Source organism: Homo sapiens, chromosome 15, assembly GCF_000001405.40.
Source record: "Homo sapiens chromosome 15, GRCh38.p14 Primary Assembly".
In the NCBI taxonomy this organism is placed as follows: Eukaryota; Metazoa; Chordata; class Mammalia; order Primates; family Hominidae; genus Homo; species Homo sapiens.
Window position 1 is genome coordinate 46622218 of NC_000015.10, and position 17532 is coordinate 46639749.

The window sequence follows — 17532 nt, forward strand, 5'->3', positions numbered from 1 at the left end:
CATTAATGGTTATAGGCTGTGGGTACTATAGACAGTAAAGCCACACTTCCATAAAAACTATCCCCTCCCATGCCATTGGCTTCGAAGAACCAATTTTATACTCACTCAACATGTCTTATTGATGGGCATAAATCAGTCTGGAACAAAGTTTTAAAGCATTTATGATTGGTTTTGAAATTGAAAAAAATGTGCACATATCCCCAGAAAAGCTAGGCACAGCTTTTCATCCAAAATGAATAATTATGCATAGAACTGATTACTTAAATACACAGTTCATGATTATGAATGAAATTACCTGTATTACACTGCAAATACCTTGTTCTGCATGGATTAAATAAAGTAAAACTTGATTGCAGATGTTGGAAATTTTAGATCTTGAGATTTTTCAGTTACTCTCAAAATATATCACTTGCCTCTTATAACATTTCCCTTATAGAAGTAATTTACAAGTTGAAATTAAAAATGAACTCTTGGTTATAATGGATTTCACAGTGGGGTGAAATTCTAGTAGCTGGACCATAGGAAATAAGTGGACTGTTTCTCTGTTTTCACACCTAGTTCAGACACTTTCTGTAAGATGCAGATGCACAGGCCAGGTAGATCTCTACCTACTTGTTTAATCTGGGGGATTCCAATAAACCCTTAAGCCCCTGACAGTTTCTTCCAAAAGCCTGCGTATGTGCCTGAAATCCTATCTTTATTACTTTACTTCTGGTTTTTGCTTGTTAAAATGCACATGTTCCTGAGGAGAATAATCCATGAAACTGTAATCCATCAAAGCAACATAGTGTGAATCAGCCTGTCAGTTCCATTCCAAAGCGACAGCTTGGGAAGAACAGGTTTATTTTCCTATGTTGTTTTAGCAACCTCATTTTTCACATCTTTTTCCACTAACCAGATTAGACCCTCTGTGTAGGCATAGGCTTTGGTTTAGCCTTTTATCTGATCATTTCATGTGGACTCACATCCTGTTTTGGGGAATTCACTTGCTTTTCTTAGATTTCTTGGAGGTTTGTAGGAGACCAGGATTTATTAATACGTAGTGCTTAAATGCGAGGAGTCAATATTGAAATTGTAATCCTGGATCAAAAATAACTTAGACTCAGAAACATTTTGAAATGTAGGCAAAATACAGCTCACTTCCTTTGGTGTATTTCTTTATGTTCATCAATCACAACATTATTTTAATTAAATTTCATGTTTCTCAAAGTAGTATTTTTGATACATGTACAAAGTAACTCAAAGTTTTAAAAGAAAACTGTAAAAGGTTTCTATAAAGAAAACAACAATGCCTTACCCAACCCCTTTGTCCCAATCTTAAAGGGAAAGCCTTAGGTATAATATTAGTTGTAGATTTTTCTCAAATATCCTTTATTGAGAAACTATTCTATTTTTGTTAGTTTCTTCAGATTTTTTATCAGAAATGTGTGTTGCATTTTCTCAAATTGTTTTCTAGATCTATTGAGATAATTATATATTTTCTGTTTTAGCCTGTTTATATGGTTAATTAAATAAGATCAAATTATTAAAGTATTAAATATTAATGGATTGACTTTTTGAATCTTCAGCCCACCTTTTATTCCTAAGATAAAATCCCCTTGGTCATGATATATCATTCTACTTTGTATTACTGGCTTTGGTTTGCTAATGTCAGTTTCCTGAATTTTTTTCAAATTATGGCAACATCCTCCCATAGCTTCTCATAGGTCAGAACAATTGTCTATATCATCAAACTATCTAATTATTTGTCAGTTTCATTCCCTCAGCAGCCTCACCCAAACAATTCAAACTAATTGCTCTCAAGGCTTCTTTTTTCTCTAATGAGTTTTGATCTTCTGTTCCCTATTTCATGCTCTCCTCCTCTTAGCTTTTTTATTTATTTGTTTATAGAATATCCTTTAGTAATTTCCTTTGAAAAGGTAAATTTTTGAGACACTTTTCATGTCTTGAAATAACTTTATTTTACTTTCTTCCATGACTGGTAGTTCAATTGGCACTAAAATTTATCTTTACAGCACTCCCCATCTATAATATTTTGTTTTTCATTTTTCTCTGACAGAGACCAAAGTAATTTTAATTCCTGATCCTTTTTTATGTGATATTTTAATTTCTTCTTTCAGGGAAGAAAAAGATTTCTAGGATCTTCTTCTTATCCTTGACATTCTAAAATTTCATAAAGCTCATAGTCTCCGCCCAAAGGCTCCTAGAGCTGATAAACAACTTTGACAAAGTTTTAGGATACAAAATCAATGTACAAAAATCAGTAGCATTTCTATACACCAATAATGTCCAAGCTGAAAGCTAAATCAAGAATGCAAGCACAATAGCCACAAGGAAAATACAATACCTAGGAATACAACTAACTAGAGAGGTGAAAGGCCTGTACACCAAGAAGTGCAAAACAATGCTGAAAAAAATCAGACAATACCAGCAAACAGAAAAAACATTCCATGCTAATGGGTAGGAAGAATCAATGTTGTCAAAATGGCTGTACTGCCCAAAGCAGTTTATAGACTCAAGGCTATTCTTATCAAACTGCCAATGTTGTTTTTCACAGAACTAGAAAAAGGAAACTATTATAAAATTCACAAGGAACCAATAAAGAGCCTGAATAGCCAAAGCAATCCTAAGCAAAGGAACAAAACCAAAGGCATCACACTTCCTGACTTCAAACTACACTACAAGGCGACAGTAACCAAAACAGTATAGTATTGGTACAAAACAGATACATAGACCAATGAACAGGTTAGAAAACCCAGAAGTACAGCTGCACACTTACATCCATCTTATCATCAACAAAATTGACAAATATAAATGAACAAAAATAGGGAAAAGGACTCACTATTTAATAAATGTTGCTGGGATAACTGGCTAGCCATATGCAGAAGATCAAAAGTGGACTAATTTCTTTCAACGTATACAAAAGCCAACTCAAGATAGATTAAAGACTTAAATGTTAAACTCAAAACTGTAAAAACCTTAGAAGAAAACCTAGGAAATACCATTCTATACATAAGACTTGGCAAAGATTTCATGACAAAGTCTCCAAAGGCAATTGCAATCAAAACAAAAATTGGTAAGTGGGACCTAATTAAACTTAAAAACTTCTACACAACAAAGGACATGACCAACAGAGTAAACAGAAAACTTAGAAATGGGAGAAAATATTTGCAAACTATGCATCCAACACATGTCTACTGTCCAGAATCTAGAAGAAACTTAAAAAAATTAATAAGCAAAAAACAATCCCATTAAGAAATGGGCAAAGTACATGAACAGACACTTTTCAAAAGGGAACATACACACAGCTAACAAGCATATGAAAAAATGCTCAACATCACTAATTAGAGAAATACAAATCAAAACCATAATGAGACATCATTGCACACCAGTCAGAATGGCTATGATAAAAAAGTCAAAAAATAACAAATGCTGGTGAGGTTGCAGAGAAAAGGGAACACATACGCTGCCGGTAGGAAGGTAAATTAATTTAGTTACTGTGGAAAGCAGTTTGGAGATTTCTCTAAGAACTGGAAACACAACTACCATTTAACCCAGCAATCCCATTACTGGGTATCTACCTAAAGAAATATGAATTGTTCTAACACAAAGACACATGCACCTATATGTTTGTCGCAGCACTATTCACAATAGCAAAGTCATGGAAGCAACCTTGATGCCCATCAGTGGTGGTCTAAAGAAAATGTGGCATATATGCATCATTGAATACTACACAGCCATACAAAAGAAAGAAATTATGTCTTTTGCAGCAACATGGATGCAGCTGTGGGCCATTATTTTAAGCACATTATTATTGTAAGCATGGGAACAGAAAACCAAATACCACATTCTCAGTTATAAATGGGAGCTAAACATTGATGATATGGTTTGGCTGTGTCCCCACCCAAATCTCAACTTGTAGTTCCCATAATCCCCATGTGTCATGGGAAGGACCCTGTGGGAGGTAACTGAATCATAAGGGCAGTTATCCTGATGCTGTTCTCATGATAGTGAGTTCTCATGAGATCTGATGGTTTTACAAGGGGCTTTCCCTGCTTTTTCTCACCACTTCTACTTGCTGCTGCCATGTGAAGAAGGACATGTTTTCTTCCCCTTCCACCATGATTGTAAGTTTCCTGAGACCTCCCCAGCCATGCTAAACTGTGAGTCAATTAAACCTCTTTCCTTTATAAATTATCCAGTCTCAAGTATGTCATTATTAGTAGCATGAGAATGGATTAATATAGTAAATTGGTACCAGGTAGTGGATGCTGCTGTAAAGATACCCAAAAATGTAGAAACAACTTTGGAACTCGGAAATAGGCAGAGGTTGAAAAAGTCTGGAGGTCTCAGAAGAGGACAAATGTGGGAAAGTCTGGAATTTCCTAGAGCCTTGGAGGGCTCAGAAGACAGGAAAATGTGGGAAAATGTTAGAAACTTCCTAGAGACTTGTTGAATGGCTTTGACCAAAATGCTGATAGTGATATGGACAATAAAGTCCAGGCTGAAGTGGTCTCAGATGGAGATAAGGAACTTGTTGGGAACTGGAGTAAAGGTGACTCTTGTTATGCTTTTGCAGAGAGACTGGTGGCATTTTATCCCTGCTCTAGAGATATGTGGAACTTTGAAGTTGAGAGACATGATTTAGGGTATTGGGCAGAAGAAATTTCTAAGCAGCAAAGTATTCAAGATGAAGCAGAGCATAAAAGTTCAGAAAATTTACAGCCAAATGATGTGATAGAAAACAAAAACCCATTTTCTTGGGAGAAATTCAAGCTGGCTGCAGAAATTCACATAAGTAATAAGAAGCCAAATGGTCATTTCCAAGCTAATGGGAAAATGTCTCCAGAGCAAGTCAGAGACCTTTGTGGCTGCTCCTCCCATCACAGGTGTGAAAGCCTCGGAGGGAAAAATGGCTTTGTGGGCTGGACCCAGGGCACCCCAGTTCTATGCAGCCTTAGGAACTGGTACCCTGCATCCCAGGTGTTTTAGCTCCAGCCATGGCTAAAAAGGGCCAAGGTATATAGCTCAGGCTGTTGCTTCAGAGGGTGCAAGCTCCAAGCCTTGGTGGATTACAAATGATGTTGGGCCTGCAGGTGCATAGAAGTCCAGAACTGAGGTTTGGGAGACTCCACCTAGATTTCAGAGGATATATAAAAACTCCTGGATGTCCAGGCAGAAGTTTGCTGCAGGGGTAGAGCCCTCATGGAGAACCTCTACTAGGGAAATGTGGAAGGAAAATGTGGGGTCAGAGCCCCCATACAGAGTCTCCTCTGGGGCACTGCCTACTGGAGCTGTGAGAAGAGGGCCACCATCCTCCAAACCCCAGCATGGTAAGTCCACTGACAGCTTGCATCGTAATCCTGAAAAAGCCACAGACACTCAGTGCCAGCCCATAAAAGCAGCTGGGAGGGGGGCTGAATCCTGCAAAGCCACAGGGTCAGAGCTTCCCAAGGCAATGGGAGCCCACCTCTTGCATCAGCATGACCTGGATGTGAGACACGGAGACAAAGGAGATCATTTTGGAACTTTAAGGTTTAATAACTGCCCTATTGGATTCTGCACTTGCATGGGCCCTGTGGCCCCTTTGTTTTGGCCAATTTCTCCCATTTGGAACAAGTGTCTTGTAGAACAAGACCCTATTTTGTCTAGGAAGTAACTAACTTGCTTTAGATTTTGCAGACTCATAGGCAGAAGGGACTTGTTCTGTTTCAGATGAGGCTCTGGACTTGGACTTTTGGGTTAATGCTGGAATGAGTTAAGACTTTGTGGGACTGTTGGGAATGTATGCTTGTGTTTTGAAATGTGAGGACATGAGATTTTGGAGGTAACCAGAGATGAAATTATATGGTTTGGCCACGTCACCACACAAATGCTATCTTGAATTGTAGTTCCCATGATCCCCATGTGTCACAGGAGGGACCAAGTGGGAGGTAATTGAATCATGGTGGCAGTTACTTTCACGCTGTTCTCATGATAGTGAGTTCTCATGAGATCTGATGGTTTTATAAGAGGCATTTTACCCTTTTTCTTGCCACTTCTCCTTGCTGCCACCACGTTAAGAAGAACATGTTTGCTTCCCTTTCCACCACGATTTTAAGTTTCCTGAGGCCTTCCCAGCCATGCTGAACTGTGAGTCAATTAAACCTCTTCCTTTTATAAATTACCCAGTCTCAGGTATGTCTTTATTAGCAGTGTGAGAACAGACTAATAAAATTGCGAACATATAGATACAAAGAATGGAAGAATAGACACGAATGTCTACTTCAGGATGGCAGGTGGCACAAGGGTGAGGATTGAAAAACTACCTATTGGGTTCTATGCCTATTATCTGGGTGACAAAATAATCTGTACACCAAACTCCCATGGCACCAATTTACCCATGTAAGAAACCTGCACATATATACCCCCTGAAACAAAAATATTTGTTTGAAACTGACTGTTTGAAAAATAGTTATGTGATTAGTTGGTTGGCCTCTTGAATGTTGAGTTCTGGGAAACTGCATAAGTTCTGGAAATTTTTCATCTGTAATTTATTTTGTTTTTATGTCAAGTATTATGTTGCACATTTGTTTGTTTTGAGGTATATGTTGAAAGGAGAAGATAATGGAAATATATTTACAATTGTAAAGCCAGAAATCTGCTACTTTCTTCAGTTTATAACTTTAGTTGAACATATTAATTGGACATTTGTTATATGACCAGCATTGTGCTAGATATAAGGAACCAAAAATGAATTCACTTCCAGACACTGACTTTTAATTGCTTTATATCTAGTGGGAGAAATAAACATGAAACCTGATAATAGCACTCTAATGTCTAAGTGCTGGTAAATAATATGAAGGGAATCCTCAAGAAAGTTCAGGAAAGAATCCCTGGAAGAGATGATACATAAGCTAAAATTTAAAAAGGTGTAAGAATTAACCAAATGGAGAAATAGACGAAGGATGTTTCTGGCCGAGAATACAGCATTCATCCATTTATTCACTAATTCTTTTACTAACTTATTCAATAAGCATTTATTGAATATCTTATTCCAGCCACAATTCTAGACATGAGGATCAATAATGTATAAAATAATCAAAGGCATAAACAAAATGACATATATTTTGTGTGCTTGTGTCTTTGTGTGCTTGTGTGTTATAGAAGTGTTTCAGGACTTATTGGCATGTGTAATAAATGACAGGGGATATTGCAGGAGAGAATTTTGAGAAACAGGCCCTTTTATTAAATGACTTTATATGGCATAGTAAGCCATTTGGATTTTTTCTTGTTTGAGTGTCATCATAGGATTTTTTTCTGTTTTTCTTTTTTTTAAAATATAATATACTCCTTTTATATGTATTACTTGTATTCAATTTTTAACTTACCAATGAGATGTCATTTATAGGTCAGAAGTTATCCTCATGTTGTCATTGATTTAGAACAGATAATTATTGATATCTACATCTTTATATAGGTATCTATCTAAACTCTCTCATTTTCTTCCACCTTTAGTTTACTTATTAACTTATTCAATAAACAATCAACCAACTCACACCTTTTCTTCTACTAAATAAGTTGACATGTCTAACCAACTGGTGTGTATTTTTCTGGAATTTTATACTTGCTGAAATAATCATGTATAAAAATACATTCACCTTTTTATAATTCTACATTCATTTCTAAATCCATCTATTCATCATCTATTCAAGTTCGTCTGGTCAATTAAAAGAACTAGATCCAATTGTACAATTTCTCTGCTAGACTTCACAAAGATCCTTTCGAGTTAACTCATGTAGCTTTAATTAATTCTTCTTAATGGCTTCAGAATATTCCATCATGCGGATTTACCATAATTTATTCAACCATTCTTCTACTAATGGTGGTCTTTGCTTCCAGTTTTATGTCACAGTGAAAACTGCTGGAATAAAGACCTTGTATACATATTTTGCCAAGCTGTTTTAATTTTATGAGATAGGTCCCAGAAGCAGAGTTGCTGGGTTGAAAGGTATGTGTATTTTCAAATTTAGTAGGTTTTGTTGCTAAATTATTTCTTCAAAGACTGTCATATGTTCACCAGCAAATTAAGAGAAGGTTATTTTTCCCATATTCCAACAAGCAACACCGATTATTGCCTTAATTTGTGCCAATTGAACTATATGTAAAATTTTATTGGCATCATACTTTTCATTTATCTGACTACTGGTTGGTTTAGGGACACATTTATTGGTTATTTGGGTTTACTATTTTGTGAGTTTTGCTTGTTTTCATTAGTTTTTCATGTGAATTTTTAAGTGGTCTCATGTTAAATATTACTATTTTCTCTGTCATGTATAATTCAAATGTGTATAATTTAACTAGGATTTTATATAGTAAATATTTGTCATACACTAGTTTATATCATTTTGTAGAAAAATATTATCATTTTATAGCTTTTATAGTTTCTTAATTTTCTGTCTTGATAAAGGTCTTCTCCTTTCTCAATTTTTGTACATACAGTCTCAGAGCTTCTTTTCAGTTGTCTTTTTCAAGTTCTCAATTTATCTGAATTTTTTCTTTTACTTATAGTTCAAGGTAGCATTCCAACTTTCTTTTCTTTTCAGACGTACCGTCCATTGTGGAAGCACTTTTGAAAATATCACGCTTATCATACATTAAATTTTCACATGAATTGTGATTTGTGTCTGCATTTTTTATTAGATCTCACTGGTTTCTATGTCAGCATCCAACTTTATGTCACAGAATATTTACAATGTGTTTTAATATTTATTAAACTCTTATTCACTATTATTGCTTTTGCTTTTATTGGCATAATTCTTTCTCATCAACTTAAGAGACTTTTGTCAAGTTCCAAAACCAAATTTAAATCCTAATCCCCATAAATATTTTAATTGGACTTGAAGTACATTTATTTATTAATATTAGGAAGACTGACATTTTTATTCTATTAATCTTTTCCATCTGAAAACATGGTATGCTATTTCAATTTTTTCTTTGTTCATATTCTTTCAATCAGATTTACTCAGTTTCTATACCTTTCTTGTTGAATTTATTCCTAAGCATTTTATACTTTTGTTATGATTGTAAAGGGAATATTTTCACCACTTTCATTTCTCAGTGCTTATTGCTAACATGGAGAAAACCACAGTAGTGTTTTTTGTTTGTTTGTTTGTTTGTTTGTTTGAGATGGAGTCTCGCTCTGTGGCCCAGGCTGGAGTGCAGTGGCGCGATCTCGGCTCACTGCAAGCTCCACCTCCTGGGTTCACGCCATTCTCCTGTCTCAGCCTCCCAAGTACCTGGGACTACAGGTGCCCGCCACCACCCTGGCTAAGTTTTTGTATTTTTAGTAGAGACGGGGTTTCACCGAACCACAGTAGTATTTTAAACAGTGCTGAGAAACAGCAAACAAATTTTAAGTAGAAACGTAGTGATATTATGGAGAAAAGATTTTAAAGAAAAGAGAATGAGGACTGAGAAGCCAGTTAGAAGGCCATTGTTGCAATTCAAGTGGGAGAAACTAAATACCTGAATCAAGGTGCAGTTGTCAAGCTGGAGAAAATGGAGCATGAAGGAATGATTTTGAATAAAATTGGTAGAACACGGCTGTTGACAATATGGGACACATGGGCAGAAGAGGTGTTTAAGTTAACTGTGAGATTTCTGGCTGTTTCCTGAAATGGCAGATACAGGAAAATACGCAGGTTTAAAAAATCCACAGTAAATCTTAGTTCTGCTTATGTTTCTAAATATGTTATAAAGCAGTGTTTCTCAAATTTTTGGCAATCCAATAACCACTTAGTGGGTGACTAGTGCAATTATAGGTTATCACATTTTAGTTAAATAAGTTTAAAATAATAATGGCTTTAAAAATAATTACTCAGTAAACATTATTTTGATTGTTAAAAAGAATATTACTTATTTCATATCTATGCCAGATATCCTATTCATTCTAAGGCTTTATTACAATGTATATGTGGCTCAGTGATGGACAATGTAGCCAAGTGGCCACATTCTACATGTAGTGGGTTTCTATTGAGGTAAAACCCTCTGACTTTCTATTGAGTTAAAACCCTCTGACTTTCTATTATATATTGTGTGGAAATAGGAGCAACTATTTACAGCTTCATCAGCTATGTACATTAATTTCAAATATGCACATAGATATTATGAGACAAAAACTAATATATCTCATTAAAGACTATTTTCAGAGCTACATCAGATGTAAAATAAATAAGTGTATCACACTATAAAGTTTGACCTCAAATGTTTCAACTTAGACCACAGAGCAATTGGTTTGCTAATCTACTCTAGTTGTTTGGGTGATAAATAATAAACTCAATAATCTATCGCCAATTTCTATCCCCCAAAAGTGAAAATATGTATTAAGAAAAAAGTTAAATCCTTCACAAGGAAGCCATTGATACCACTGTTTGGATTTCTAAAGGAAACTTGGTGCCCTACCCTCAATTTAAAAATCATCATCTTTTCTCTTGAATTTTTAGTGTCATACTATTCAGACCATCTAAAGTCATACAAATGCTATCTACTGGTATCATCAGTGTAATAAAGATGTGTTTTTAACTTTATTAATGCATGAACTCAAATCTTTCCCCCTCAGAGAGCAAGGGAACTTATGAGGAAAGCAGTCTTTGACTTGAAGCGCATTTCCTCACATTGCATATGAAAAGATGAACTCACTATAGTTGTTATTTCATCATACTCAAATATGTTTACTATTTCAGAGAAATGTGCTAGTACTGTAGTCCTTAGATATATGTTAATAGTTAAATTTAAATTAAAGTTTAAAAATAGAATTTCTCAGTTGCACCAGTTGCATTTCAAATGCTCAATAGCCACATGTCTTTAGGGGCACCATGTTGGACAGAGCAAATAGAGAACATTTCTATCACTGAAGAAAGTTCTTTGGGTCAGTGCCATTCTAGGACAATGGATCAGGGAATATTATTGATCACCGTCTATTCTATTGTAATGAATAATGTTTGGACTGACTTTGTAGACACCCTCTTTTCCTGTGTCACATATTTTTCTTGCTTCACACACAGCTAAAGGTCTCTTACCATGTCCCAAAGATGCCTGCTACAGTCTATACCACACCTCAGAAGATAATCATTAATTACTCTGAAAACAAAAATCTTTCTTCTGATTCTCATGAGTTTTGTGAAAAATAGAACAGGAATCACTAGGCATTTTTTTTTCCTACCTGTCAAATACATGTGCTGAAAACACACAGAATTAGTAATTCTATTCAATTGTAGTATTAACTGTCTTGGCATACACATACACAGACAACAGACACACATGTGCGTGCACACAGGCATAACCCCCACACCCCCACATGCCAATATAGACATGTTTTAATATTTTCCTGACATATTTTTATCTTTGAGATCCAACAGTATCATTTCATAAATAAATTTTATCAGTAGCTTATTATTTTTTCTGGTATAATATTTCTTTTTAATTTGCTATTGGTTTTGTAGCCTTTTCACCAATAGTGTAACCATCATTTGTATCTGTTTTTTACTCTGAACAGTGTAATTCTGGATAATGCTTCCTTAGTTTGTGCTCTTGTCTTTCTTCAGTGGCAAAACATCAACAACTTTATACTAAAAAGCCTTTTTAATTATATATTGAAAAACATTTTGTAATTATTTGAAAATTCAATAACTTTATGTTCTCATTTGTTAAATTTTGTTAACAGCTAATTCATTGTGAAGTGAGAGAAAATTGTTCCATGGCCCAACAGAATCCAATTTTTAAATAATGATGTATTTTAGAGTTCTACATTTCTTTGGCTGACTTCATTATACTTAAAGATCCAATTTCCGAGAACACATCCGTTCACATTCTGTTTTACAAATGAAGTCCCATTTATTATTTCTACTAACAAGGCCATTCAGAAGGGGCCGTTGTTTGTGTTTTTATCTCCATCACTGTTTTATGCTTCAACAACCATTTTTTGGAGCTATTAATTCATTTATGTCACTAGGGTATATGACAAATCAACAGAGTTAAAACAAAAATGCAAATTTGATATGCAGAATATAAATAGTATATATACTACATATAAAAATTGGATATACATAGAAGGAATATACACATATATATGATGCGAAATTATGTTAGCTGTGATAAATTACATACTCCTTAAAAATGTGCACAGCTTTTAGGAAAGCAAAATAATTAAGTAGATTAGGATTTCTGTAAAAATCACAGTTAATCTCACATTTAAAATTTTTGAAATATATACCAAAATTATTTTCCTTAGAATTTACCCACCTCAGGAAGATCAGTAGTTTGACCATGAAGTTTTGAGGATATTATTGGTGGGGTCAATCAGGCTGCTAGTGTCTCTAACCTGTGTATGCTTTTCAGGAGGGACTTTTAATGTTTTAGTTTTTAATCCTCAGGAAGTCATCTCTAAGGCATCCAGGGCAGGGTGTCAATGCTGTGCAAAATGCCTGCATTTGGTGGTGGTGGGGAGGGGGGAATCTTGGATGATGTCTACCACACCTCCTTCTAGGACTGAGGTAGTTGGTGTCTCAGAAGTGAAATAAAGTTTACTAAAGTTTTAACAAGTCCATTCAGAAATGGAGCCAGAGTCACAGGAAGGAACAGGATTGCAGCCACGACTACAGCTCTCTAAGAATGTAAGTGCACGTAACAGGCAACACGCAGGAGTTATTTACCAAGGGAATAGAGGGCTACTTCTTAGGACTGACTCTCCCCAAGACGAAATGAACTTTTCAGGGTCACACAAAGTTCCAGGCTATCTAGCTGGGAACATAAACTCCCTGAAGTGCTGACGCCCATTCCCACCCACGCTCTCACCCATCACCACAGAGGCAAATAAATTCAGACCAGTGATGTGTTATTTGCTCATCTTAATTAAAGAGAATATAATTACAACATGTTTATGCAACTAACTTATACAGTAGTTATTTGCTTTCTTGGCATTGTCACAGAGGGAAATGTTTCATATAAAGGGACTTTGCATGTAACTAATTCAAGTATAAAATCTCTTTAAAAATTTAAACATGTCATTTAAAAAATCTCTCTAAAGTTTCTTCTACATCCCCTAACCTGCTAAAGCAGGATGTACTAAATATACTTTTTATCTCCCTAATGACATTACATGAAGAACATCGATGATTTTGCTGTGCTGTATAAACTGAAGCCTTCAGAGGCTCTTAAAGCATGTGAGACTTCTTTCCTCTGCACTAAAGGGCCTCAAGCTATTCTATTTGTGCTTTTAAGTTTTCAGACTTCCCCTGTAGAAAAGTAGGCTTCAGTTGAGACTTCTCATTAGAGGGCCTGCTTCAAGTATTATCTTCCCGCCCTTCTGTTTTTTCCTTTCATTCCCTTCTACTATCTCTTTAAAATTGGTGTTTTCTTCCTTTTTTTTTTTTTTTTAGGCTGGAAAACAGGTATTCATATGAGTATGCTATAAGAGTCCATAGGTTTCCAAGTGGATGGTCAGTGGCTTTTCATGGAGTAAAGTAACAAGTGTAGGGAGCTGGTTCTTTGACAGCTGTCTCCTGGCATTTTTTTCTTTCTTCTTTTTCTATGTTCCCAACTGTGTAACAGAGGACTGAGGATACCCTACACTTGATTTCTGATAGGAGGCATAGTTTTGCAATTTATGAAGCAGAGTTTTTTGTTATTTCTGAACATCTTAAATACGAAATGAAAAATCAGCACTGAGAGAAAAAGCACATAAGTACATGCCTTTTAACCATGTGATTTTTGCAATTATTGATTTTCTTGGCATTTGTTTCAGTCCATGTTTTCTGTTACTGGTGTCAGATACATTTTACTTAGAAATGCTACCTGATGAAAATCCTATAGTACAGAACTCCCTTTCCTCCCTGTGTTTTTATTCACAGTGTACAGTATCTTCTAACTTTGAGGAATCACTGCAGCAAGTTGTAAATGATATATGGAGTGACAAGTTTTCCCTACTGAATTAAAAGAGAAAAAGTACTGAGCAATGACTGCTGTGATGCACTGTTTCCAGTAATATTTAGTTTATACAAAGCTTTGGAAACCCAGCAGGCCCTGAGCTTTCTACACAGTGAGACAAAACCCAGACCAAAATGCATTTAATGTGCTCATTTCTTTTTTCTTTCTCTTCAATACATTTCCAGTTGAGCAATCAGTTTCATGCCCCAGGGTGCACTGCATGCCTATAACCCTAGCTATGCAAAGAGCTTGGATTACGATTGGATCTGGAGGTAGGAGTAGGAATTGCAGCTTCTTTGGTCTCTTGCCAAATACCATTAGGAAGAGAAATGGATCTACAAAAAAATTCTGAGTGTGTGTGTTGGTGGTAGGGGAAGGGAATATGTGTGCATGCATTTAAGGGAAAAGAATAAATAGCTGGCCTCGACCATTAAGCCAGTCTCATCCTGGGTGTCCAGACTTCTGCTGGGCAGGGAGGAAATGCTCACATCCTGGATCAATGGGCTGTTCACAACACCATCCCTTCTGGGACACACTTGGAAAGGGACATAGATGATATCAACACAGATAAAGGTATGAGGATAGAGACATCTAGAAGAAAAGCCTCCTTTTGAGTGTGCATTGAAAGATAGCTTTTTAAAAAAAGATGTGTGACCCCAAACTGCCACGGGCACTGTTTTAACTTAGAAATATTTATACATCTATCCTAATTAGAATTATTTTATAGGAAATTTCCAGTATGAAATCTACTGAGATACAGTGGTGGAGAATGTCTTTTGACTTTTACTTGATACTGGCAAGCCAAATGACTTATTGTAAAGAGGATCAAACACAAGCAACACTGCCAACTCACATGGGATTTGGCTCCATCTGAGGTCAGGACCTCACTGCTAACCTCAAAAGGTTTGACTTAATGCTAAAGTGTTCTTTTCCTGCAGTGCTTGCTTACCTAGTGGTTCTCAAGCATTTTTTGGAGAAAAAGTGGTTTGGGCGTAGCCTAAGGATAAAGCTCATATGCATGATATTTTCCCATCAGATGGGTGGAAAGATTATATAGATAAGCTAGGTTTTGGATTAAATTTCTTGTACTTTTTCTATAGCTCTACCTCTTTTCTTTCCATTGATGCATAACAGACCTATATGTAACAACACAATTAAGAATCAGCGCATGGCCCTTAATACCTATTTACCGGTTGCTCAGAGATTTGAACTTGATGATCATTAGTATTGTTCAGAAAAATTGTATCCATGAAGTCCAAGTTTAAATATCTACACAGAATTAAATAATCACAATATTTATAAATATAATAGAGAATTTGAAAAGGATTTTAAAAAGTGAAAATATATAAGGCTTTTAAAAATTACATTTATATCATAATCACACATTCACATTACCTTATAATAATTTATCCTTTATCCTCCATTATACTAAGTCCTGTAATGTTTCAAGTTTAAAAAATATCAAAATTCAAGTTAAAAATCACTTTTCTATCTCTCTCTTTAATAGAATGTCTTTAGGCACTTCTTCATAATTCCAGGAAAAAATTCAGATTGACATCTTAGCATCTCAGATCAACTCTCTGAATGATCATGTTTCTGGTAGCTTTATCTTCCATAATCAGAAACAATAAAATGAAATTAAAATAAAATTTAGGTATCACAAGTATATTACTGCTTTTCTTTCATGCTTGCTGTCACTGCCTTTTTTCTGATCAAATATATTTCTTACCTTACTGGTTCTCATTATTTAATATTTGTTCAATTTTGGTGATTTGTTTTCTTTGCTTTGAAGTTCAACTTTGTTGATTTTCCTATTTCTTCACTTTAATTATCATCTACTAAACATCTCTAAGTGAAGACTAAATACTGAGGCCATCTACTAAATTGAACTTTCTCTGCTTTTAAAAAAAAAGTTGATTTGATGCAACAAAAATATTGACCAATATTTTTAAATAAATTTTATACAGGCCCACAGCCCTGATTACAACTTCTGCCACCTAGATCCTGAATCCATAGATGCCATCTCTGCTCCGAAGTCTGATGACAAGAATAATGATGATGACTGATGATGACAAACTGTTCTAAATGCCTTCTGTGTATTATCTCATGCGATCCTCAGAGCAACCCTTTGAAAGTAGATACACTACTATTCCATTTCACAAATGAGGAGGCTGAAGCCCGGAAAGACTTAGAAAATTTCCAAGGCCTTATCAATATTATGTCTGAAGTAGCTTCAGACCACTTGTCTTCATCACTCCCCATTAAGCCTGCTGGGTTTTCCCTCTGAAGTTCTCCTAAAGAACATATCCACACTAATTATTCTGACAGTTTTGACAGGAAGACAGAGGAGGGCTTACACTATGCACCAATAGCAAACAACTATTAATAAAGTTTCATATTAATTATGTTCTCCAAAATCCCTTCTTGACAATCTTATCCCTTCCATGGCATTTCTCTGTGTTGCCTCCATCCATAAACCTCAGCAGGTTGTCAGTTGTCAGCAACTTGAGAATCCCCTGCAAACTTTTGGTTCTCTTTCCTCAATTCTATAGAACATTCAGCTCTATTCAGTCCTTGCTCCTTGGCTAGCCTACAATACTACCCAGGTGTTCAGCTACAAACTGCCTTCCCCAGAATGAATACCACATACTCAGAAGGTAATCATGGTATATGGTGCTGAGATATGGTGTTTCTATTAGAATTTGTTTCTATGTGCTTACAAAGCCTTTATAATTATAATTTTAATGGCTCACTAAATTATCTCCTGCTCATGTTACATAGTAAGCCATTTTTAATTGTTGAATATTTTGGTGGTTTTGTTTGTTTTATTTATATATCACAACAAACATTTTTATTCATTTGGACTTTGTGTATGTTGAATTATTGCTTTAAAATAAATTCCCAGAGGAGAGAGTACTCAGTCAAAGGATATGAATATGTTTATGTTGCATTATTTTACAAATCAGTTGTATCAGCTAACAGAGTTGTGTATAAGTTAAAAGCCATACCAAAGCTTTGTCAACACTATTTCTATTTTCTTACTATGTAGAAGCATGAAAATATTCCCTCATGTACAGAAGATCCCTGACTTACAATGGTTCAACTTATGATTTTTCAATTTTGTCCTGGCTTTATGGGGTATTGAATGCATTTTTGACTCACATATTATGTTTATCAGGAAACCCATCTGAAGTCAAGGAGCATCCACGTTTGTTTCTATTTGTGTTTTATCTAATGTGAGTGCTTTTTACAAACACTTTGATCTTTACCTATATGGTGAAACAATTTTTCTTTGTTGTTTTGTTTCTGCATTTCAATACTGTTTCACACAAAGACCACTTTTGGTCTGCTATACTTGATACAAGTATTTTAACTTCAGTTTTACTGCTTTTTCATTTTTCTACAAGTTTTAGATTTCAAGTATATTTCAAATATACTTTGAATTGGTCAGGCTAAACCTTTGCAATTACTGTTTTTGCTTCAAAGGTGAGAAATCCACCATTTCCAAAGATCAGATAATGATTCTATTTTCTCCTTTAAAACATTGTTTTATGTTTCCCACTTTCA

The 17532-nt window shown here is 35.3% G+C and overlaps 1 long non-coding RNA gene across 2 annotated transcripts in view; it reads left to right on the plus strand.

The window, feature by feature from the left end:
- Positions 1–16593, plus strand: part of LOC105370803 (uncharacterized) — a 31061-nt gene extending 14468 nt beyond the window's left edge. The window contains exons 3-4 of one of the 2 annotated variants that reach the window (XR_932193.3): positions 14693–14868; positions 15933–16593. This is a non-coding gene — a long non-coding RNA (uncharacterized LOC105370803). The remainder of the gene's footprint in view (positions 1–14692; positions 14869–15932) is intronic. The other variant, XR_932194.3, reaches the window with a different exon arrangement.
- The last annotated feature ends 939 nt before the right edge of the window (positions 16594–17532 follow it).